At 38.7% G+C, this 9,172-nt stretch overlaps 1 annotated feature.

The window, feature by feature from the left end:
• Positions 628-1,220: an enhancer, noted in NCBI's record as "OCT4-NANOG hESC enhancer chr14:83922762-83923354 (GRCh37/hg19 assembly coordinates)". NCBI's record gives its function as "activates a minimal SCP1, AML or CMV promoter by ChIP-STARR-seq in naive H9 embryonic stem cells {active_cell/tissue: H9 hESC(naive)}" and the evidence as "EXISTENCE:reporter gene assay evidence [ECO:0000049][PMID:30033119]".

Raw genomic sequence — 9,172 nt, forward strand, 5'->3', positions numbered from 1 at the left:
GGCTATGTCGGTACCTCACTTCCATTTTTTGTACATCACCTTCCTTTTTCTGTCCATAAATTGTCTTCCACCATATGGCTTTGCTGGAGCATCTCTGGGCCTCCTCTGGCTTCGGAAGCTGCAGAATTTGAGAATCATTCTTTGCTCAATTAAACTTGTTAAATTTAACTTGTCTATGTTTTTGTCTTTTAACAGATGAAGTCAGAAGTGTGATCTGAAATAGAGCTTCTAGCGACCTGCAGGAGCATTGAGTGACCAAGTGGGATGCCTGGAGTGTATTGTATCCATTGCGCTCTCACAGCCGCTGGGAATCGTGGCAAGTTCTCTCTGGGATACTGAAGCTCGACAGATTTGTGTTTTGAACTATCCAAGTTTATTTGAACGAAATTTTTGATCCAAACTTTCTTCAGAAGTCTCAACAGAAAATGAACTGGGTCCAGAATTAGATTCAATCTGTAAACTAAAAATAAAATTCTAAGGCCCCCAACCAACTGAATGGACCCCTTCTCTCAGCCAAGGGCATTTTAAAGTTAACCTGAAAAACTAGTTCAGGCCATGATGGAAACAGAGGTTCCATATACCTCATTATACTTTCCTCCCTTTGGAATTCAGGCACAACTGACCAGCGTTAACATTAAAACAAAGATCTAAAACCGGCAAAACAGACTCTTTGTAGCAATAAGATACCAAATTCCAATCTGACCTACTATAGACTCACATGACAGATAACAGGCCCTGAAAGAAATGAAAGCATTTTATCCAAAAATATTTTTCCATGACATATTTTAAAATGGCTTTGCAAAGCTGTCTTGTGTGTGGGGGGGGAAACTTACAGTCTGTAGAGAATCTCCTTCCCTTACTAGGTCTTTTCAGGGGAGTCTAGCACCTTTTAGTGTCTGATAAGAAGACCTTTAACATCTATTGTCTCTGAAGCCTGCTAATTAGAGGCTTCATCTGCATAACAAGAAGTTTGGTTTCCACAGTCTCTTTTATCTTGACCCCACGCATTTTTTTTTTCTGCTAACTTCAACTCTTTAGCCAAAATTAAACTCTTTCAACCAACTGCCAGTCAGGAAATCTTTGAGTCCACCTATGGCCTGGAAGCCCCCATTTTGAGATGGCCTGCCTTTCCAGAATAAATCAATGTACACCTTACATATACTAATTGATATTTGCCTATAACTTCTGCCCTCCTAAAATGTATAAAATCAAGCTGTGACCCCAACACTTGGGCCATGTTCCCAGGACCTCGTGAGGCTTTGTCGTGGGCATGTCCTTAACCTTGGCAAAATAAACTTCTAAATTAACTGAGACTTGTCTCAGATATTTTTTGGCTTAAAGATCCTAAAAATAACTGGCTTGGATCCAGTTATAAACCCCTTATGTCTGACTGGGTCAGATTAAAAACCAATAGTAAATGGTAACATTGCAGGAGGTGCAAACTTTAGCATTTAGAAATTTGCAGAGATTTTTGTATTTTAACTCCTTTCTTTCTTGTGTGCTTATATGAGGAAAGACATCGGCTAAGTTGATTTAGGGGATATGAGAGTCAAAGCAAAGATTCAAGATAAAAATGAGATCTTTACTTTCTTAAGAACTAAGTAATCTACCTTCTGGCTGTGTCTACATTTACATGTATAAGTATTAGCCCAGAATTAGCAAATGCTTATAGAAATGGCAAAATCTTACTAAATGTAATGTAAAATACAATGTAACATTCCAAATGAACAATACTGCACTTTAAAAAGTGCATTTGAAAATGAAATCTCCTGAATTAATCTCATCTGATGAGGTCTATTAATGTCCAGAAACTTCTAAAAAATTTTCAATATTTTATTGTTATTTTAAAAAGGACTCTTTATAAAAGGCAAATAAAAGATTTAAGTGACTAGTAGATAAGAAAAATTAAATCCTCCAACCTTTTGGCTTAGTTACTATCCAACTTTGAAGGCACAAAGGAATCTCTTCTAGATAGATAGAGTGTTTATTAAAGACAGGCCCTCAGGTAAAGTAGACTTGCTTCTTTTTCAGATCTATCTGTCCTGATTCCAGGCAGAGAGAATGCTTTATTTGCCCTGTTCCTTAATGGGCTTCATCCCAAACATAGTGATTTTAGCTAGAAACCATAGTTAAATTGAAAGGTTCACCTATGGAACTAAAATACAGCTTTCTGGTATTTAACTAGCTATCTTGAAATTCTTTTGTAAAAGAAATTACATCTTGGTATGGTTTGGCTGTGTCCCCATCCAAATTTCATCTTGAACTGTAGTGCCCATGATCCCCATGTGTTGTGGGAGTAACCCAGTAGGAGGTAATAGAATCATGGGAGCAGTTACTTCCATGCTGTTCTCATGAGTGAGTTCTCATGAGATCTGATGGTTTTATAAGGGTCTTTTCCCTGCTTTGTTCTGCACTTCTCCTTCCTGCCACCATGTGAAGAAGGATGTGTTTGTTTCCTCTTCTGCAATGATTGAAAGTTTCCTGAGACCTCCCCAGCCCTGCGACACTGTGAGTCAATTAATCCTGTTTTGTTTATAAATTGCCTAGTCTCAAGTATGTCCTTATAGCAGTGTGAGAACACACCAACACAGTAAATTTGTACCAGGAGTAAGGCACTGCTATAAAGATACCCAAAAATGTGGAAGCAACTTTGGAACAGGGAAACAGGCAGAGGTTGAAAGAGTTTGGAGGGCTCAGAAGAAGATAAAAAAAGTAGAAAGTTTGGAACTTCATAGAGACTTGGAGGGCTCAGAAGACAGAAAGATGTGGGAAAGTCTGGAACGTCCTAGAGACTTGTTGAATGGCTTTGACCAAAATCCTGATAGTGATATGGTCAATAAAGTCCAGGCTGATGTCATCTCAGATGGAGATGGGGAACTTGTTGGGAACTGGGGTAAAGGTCACTCTTGCTATGCAAAGAGACTGGTGGCATTTTGCCTCTATCCTAGATATCTGTGGAACTTTGAACTTGAAAGAGATGATTTAGAGTATCTGACAGAAGAAATTTCTAAGCGGCAAAGAGTTCAAAGGAAGCAGAGCATAAAAGTTTAAAAATTTGCAGTCTGATGATGCACTAGAAAAGGAAACCCCTTTTTCTGGGGAGAAATTCAAGCTGGATGCAGAAATTTGCATAAGTTATGAGGAGCCCAAATGTTAATCACCAAGACAATGGAAAAAAATGTCTTCAGGGCATGTTAGAGACCTTCATGGTGGCCCCTCCCCTCACAGGCCCAGAGGCCAAGGATGAAAATATGGTTTACTGGGCAAGGCCTGGGGACCCTTGCTTTGTGCACAGAAATCAAGAATTAAGGTTTGGGAACCTCCACCTTGATTTCAGAGGATTTATGGAAATGCCTGGGTGTCTGAGCAGAAGTCTGCTACAGGGGAGGAGCCCTCATAAAGAATGTCTGCTAGGGCAGTGCGGAAGGGAAATATGGGGTTGGGTCTCACACACAGAGTTCCCACTTGGGCACTGCCTAGTGGACCTGTGAGAAGAGGGCCACCATCCTCCAGACCCCACAATGGTAGATCCACCAACACTTGCACAGTGTACCTGGAAAAGTCACAGACACTCAACACCAGCCTGTGAAGGCAGCTGGGAAGGGAGCTGTACCTGGCAAAGCCCAAGACTATGGGAGCCCATATCTTGCATCATGACCTGGATGCAAGACATGGAGTCAACAGAGATCATTTCAGAGCTTTAAGATTTGACTGCTCCAGTGGATTTTGGACTTGAATGGACTTTGTTTTGGCTAATTTCTCCCATTTGGAATGGGTGTATTTACCAAATGCCTGTACCCGCATTGTATCTAGGAAGTAGCTAACTTGCTTTTGATTTTATAGGCTCGTAGGCAGAAGGGACTTGCTTTGTCTCAGATGAAATTTTGGACTTGGACTTTTGAGTTACTGTTGGAAAGAGTTGAGACTTTGGGGGACTGCTGGGAAGGCATGATTGTATTTTGAAATAGGATGAGGGCGTGAGATTTGGGAGAAGCCAGGGGTTAAATTATATGGTTGGCTGCATCCCCACCCAAATCTCATCTTGATTGTAGTTCACATAACCACCTGTGGTGGGAGGGACCCATCAGGAAGTAATTTAATCATGGGAGCAGTTACCCTCATGCTGTTCTTTTGATAGTGAGTGAGTTCTCATGAGATCCGATGGTTTCATAAGGGACTTTCCTCCCTTTGCTCTGAACTTCTTGCTGCCACAATGTGAAGAAGGACATGTTTGCTTCCCATTCCACCATGACCGTAAGTTTTTTGAGGCCTCCCCAGCCCTGCAGAACGGTGAGTCAATTAAACCTCTTTCCTTTAGAAATTTTCCAGTCTTAAGTATGTCCTCATAGCAGCATGAGAACAAACTAATACACATCTCTAAAGGAAATCTCCATATGTTACGTGCCTTTCTGTGTACATTAGAAACTCTTCTTACCATTATTTTAAATTTACACAAGTCATACCTTAGTTTAAGGTGCTTTACTGGCCATCTTGCTTTAACTGTACTTTTACTTATGCCATTTTTTCTTTGGCTTGAGCAAAAGATGCAATATTCAGGCTGTATTAGTCTGTTCTCATGCTGCTAATAAAGACATACCTGACACTGGGTAATTTATAAAGAAAAGAGGTTTAATTGACACACAGTTCCACATGGTTGGGGAGGCCTCACAATCATGGCAGAAGGCAAAGAAGAAGGAGAGTCACATTTTGCATGGCGGCAGGCAAAAGAGAGCTTTTGCGGGGGAATGCCCCTTTATAAAGCCATTAGCTTTCATGAGACTTACTGATTATCACTAGAACAGCATGGGAAAGACCTGCCCCCATAATTCAATAATCTCCCACCAAGTCCCTCCTATAACATGCGGGAATTGTGGGAGCTATAATTCAATATGAAATTTGTGTGGGGACACAGCCAAACCATATCATAGGCCTTAAATGTTAGCTCTTTGCTTTTGAAATATAAATTTTCTTGTTTCACCTAAGAATTGTCCCTTTAGAAATGCACATTTGTTGCCTAGTTAACAATTACTGAGGGCAATGAAACAGGTAATTAAAGAATTAAGAGTCTGAATGGGGAAAAAATTATCTAAAAGCCAGCAAATTGGAATCCTTTATGAAAGCTATATTTTCTGTTCTTATGTTTGTATGTCTATATGTATTATGTGTATGGGATAATATTCTGTAAATGAAGCTAGTTTAAAAATTGCTAATAAAATAGAAATGACTTTAAAATTATCATTTATATATAATTTGACATGTTCTTGATTTGGCTATTAGCTTTTGTTTTTTATTTTGAGCCTCTAGATTTGGAGGCCTGGATAGGTAGTTGTAGTGAGGTCTGGAGACATGTTCTCAGTGCCCAGGCCAGCAGCTAAAAGTCAGAGTCAAGTCCAATATAGCCCCTTCTTCACACCCAAGCTTTGTCTCCAGGCTAATCTGGTAGGAATATATATACATTTTTTATATATAAATTTTATATATAAATTTATTTAAATTTATATAAATTTTTATATAAAAATATATATAAATATGCACATATTTGTATACATGTATATATATACACATGCACACACATATGTATATACATGTAGATGCTTATGTATGTATGTATATATGTATACATGTATATAGGTATGGACTCTGGCTAAGCAGCATACTCCATATTCTCCTCCTGATAATATTATCCTCCTTCTGATAGTCATAATAGCAATCTCCATTGTGGGTTATATTCTCCCACAAGTTTTAAATGTTTGCATGCAGCCATGTCCAGAATATTAAATGATCTCTTGTCAACTAGAATGACAAAAACTCTAAGAAATATATGACCATGAGGATGCAATTATCTATGTTTGGTATGCCGAGGGCAGAAACCCAGAATGATGGTAACTGAGAATGTGCTAAACCCCTCAGTTTTGGTCACTCTCACTTGAGTAAGAACTTAACCAAACGGTGGGAATTTTTTTAGACATATTTGTGGGAAGCCATTGTTTAAGACTGAGTGTGTGCACTAGGCCCCAACAGAGCAGAACAAACCAAAATGAAGTCATTCATGCTGAATGCGACGTAATCAAACTAAAACTTGAAGGTGAAAGATCCTAAAACAGAGCATGTTTTGTTTTTCTACTCAAAAGAGGTGATTCCAGCACAAGAAGGTCCCATCTAGTCTAGTCTTTTAAAAAAATAATAGCCTGGAGTCCTAGTTTCCACCTTATAAAAGCCAGTTTTGCTATTTACCGGCAATGATTTGACACCAAATAAGAAAATTTACAATGGTGACAGTGACGTCAATGCCTAAAATTTTGATCCTCTCTCAACATTGAGAGGATGACCAAAAAGGAGGATGTTAAACTAAGTTTAGCCTAAAGTTATGTTCTTACATATGTAAAGTTCAGCCTAAATATTACTCCGTACGTAGTGAACTGTAGCCTAACTGCACATGTAAGCTGACTGTAACTTACTCTTGTGCCAATCACTGAGCTTTGGCCAATTAAAGGCAGCCAACTGTTTAAACAGTGTTCAAATAAGGCAAACACTGAGCAATACCAAATCCGTTTCTGTACCTCACTTCCGTTATTTTAGATGTTATTTTCATTTTTCTGTCTATAAATATTCCACCACTTTGCAATGCTGGAGGCTCTCTGAGCTATTCTGACTTGAGAGGCCAATCAATTTTCAGATAGTTCTTTGCTTAATTTAACATTGTTAAATTTAATTTTTCTACATAGTTTTTCATTTAATAGTATAATTTCAAAAAGCTTACCTATTTTTTTTTAATACACTGTTTTGTGACAGTAATTTTCTGTAAATGTTTTGAAAGGATACTCTTATCTTCTGCCATTTGTCATTTCTGGTGAGAGGAGGGCTTGTCTAATTATTGCTGATTTGTGGGTAATCCATCTTTTTCCTATGTCTGATGGTTCATTAAGGAAAGAATAGATGTAGATCTGTTTATTTATTTGCTTTTAATCCAGATACATTTTGAGTGAGTTTGTTTGTTGTAAAGGTCAGTGTTGGTCTATTATCATACTACTCTGTCTAAAATTTTCAGTTGCTGACCGCTGGAGCTCTGAGTCCAGATCAGATTGTATTTTGGTAAGCCATGGCTTCTGTGCACTTGTATGGTTTAGAATATGGCATATTCCGTCTATGAGACAGTGAACAGGCCTCTGCAGGCCCCAGCCATCAGGCTCTGTCTATCTCTTCTCATCTCCCGGGGTATGAAATTTTAAGTAGCCTGTGGATCCAGAGATAGGTAACAATTTTTTAGTCTCTTCCCAGTCCCAAGTTTTATGCAGTAAGCACAGCTCTAGTCAATTTTCTTATTTTCTTAGAGTACTTTTCATTTCTGACTCCATCACAGTCTAATCCATGTCCTGCTCTGCAGGCTTCCACACCTAGATTCCAGCACACATGCAGACTCCAACCCTGATCGCTGTTTTTGTGTTGCTTTTCCAACTAGTCATTTCTGGGAATACAGAACAGCAATCTCTCTCTCTCTCTCTCTTTTTTTAGTAAACATTTTTTAAAAGTGTGAAAGACAGATAAGAGCACATACAATCAATTTACAGCTTGATAAATCACCTCAAAGTGAAGACACACAAATAACTACAAACCAGATCATAAAATGGAATACTATCAGTATCCCAGAAACTCTTCTCATGCTCCTGCCTAGTTACAAATCACATCCCCCACCCCAAAAGATCCTAACTTCTTCCAACTAAGGCAATAAAAAAGGCTATGACTTTTCAATTTTCTCTTTTCACATTTTATTTATTAATGCTATGAGTTTGCAGCAGAGGTAAGAGGGAGGCAAGGCTTAAAGTAAGAGCAATGATGATACCTCTTTAGAAAGTGGATCCAGATGAACATTTCTTAGACAGTTCTTGCCTTTGGCGCCCCCTACTGGAAGATTTATGACAAAGCCCCTTCCCTCTTGTCTGTGTGCTTTCACTGATGTCATGTTATTCTGGAACCAGCCTCTGATAATTACAGCCAGTAAGAATAACATTCACTGCTTCTGTGCTTATACGGATTGAAAATATCAGGATTAGGAGTATTTACATGAATGTGAATAATAATAATATAATGGACTACTAAGTGCTCACACATTCTTTTAATTTTACCATAAAACTTCCTTTGGCCTAATTCTCATAGATAATATAGAGTTGGGGAGATTGATTTTAGTCTTACGTGCGTTTCTTAGGTTAGCCCTGTCAGTCTAAACTGATGCCATTTCTGTCTTCCAGATTCCTATTAAAATAAGTGACTTGGGACATTGCACATGTGTCTGTATGTTTTTTAAATGAAATCTAAAACTGGTAAAAATTATTTCGGTTTGACTTTTTTCTATGTAAACCCTAAATGGGGCTCCTGAGAAGTGTCAGGTGAACTTGGCCCAAGTTTCAGGAGAACTCACTCCCTCCCAAAGGATATAAAGAAAAGATTTATGACTCCAGGTGAAACGCATAAGCAAGCTGGTGACTATAGATGATTTTAGCTTTGGGTTTCTGGTTCATTGGGCGTCTAAAATGAAACTTGGCCAATGCAAGGGGCATGCTTCTATAAATGAAGAGAAAGGTCTTGCAGAATCTGTGCAAAATGGGCTTCAGTCTGTGACTGTCTATTCACATACACCATTTCTCCAAAGACCATAGAGTAAACTTGGAGAAAGTAGGCTGTATTTTTATCTTGAGCTCAAATGTTGTCAATGACGTTTTATTAACAGTTTGGAATTCCCTATTTCCTCAATTAAAACAAATCTTGATAACATTTTGCTTTACTTGCAAGTGTGACTGAAACACTAGCCCTGAAATGGTCGTGGTCTGTATTCCAATATGCTCTCCAGTATTCTGAACAGGAAATCAAGTCATGTCTGTCTGTATATCCCTCACCACGTACATAATTCATTAAGGAATTAGAGCTCTGAGTTTTTGGAGAATTTTTTTCCTGCGATGGAATTTTTAATATGTAAGCTAAATCAGGGTGTCTGCTTGTGATTTAAAAGCCCCCAAATTGAAGACTTTTGCAGGTGCATGTTGGCATGTGGGTGGGATCTAGACCATGGACTAGCTCGCATTTCAACACCAAAGTAGAAAATGGGTGTGGAATGAATCCGCTCTTGCCCCGTTAACAACTGGCCTCAGGGGCACCATCTGGAATTCTCATAGGTATT

This window comes from Homo sapiens, chromosome 14 (assembly GCF_000001405.40).
Source record: "Homo sapiens chromosome 14, GRCh38.p14 Primary Assembly".
NCBI lineage: Eukaryota > Metazoa > Chordata > Mammalia > Primates > Hominidae > Homo > Homo sapiens.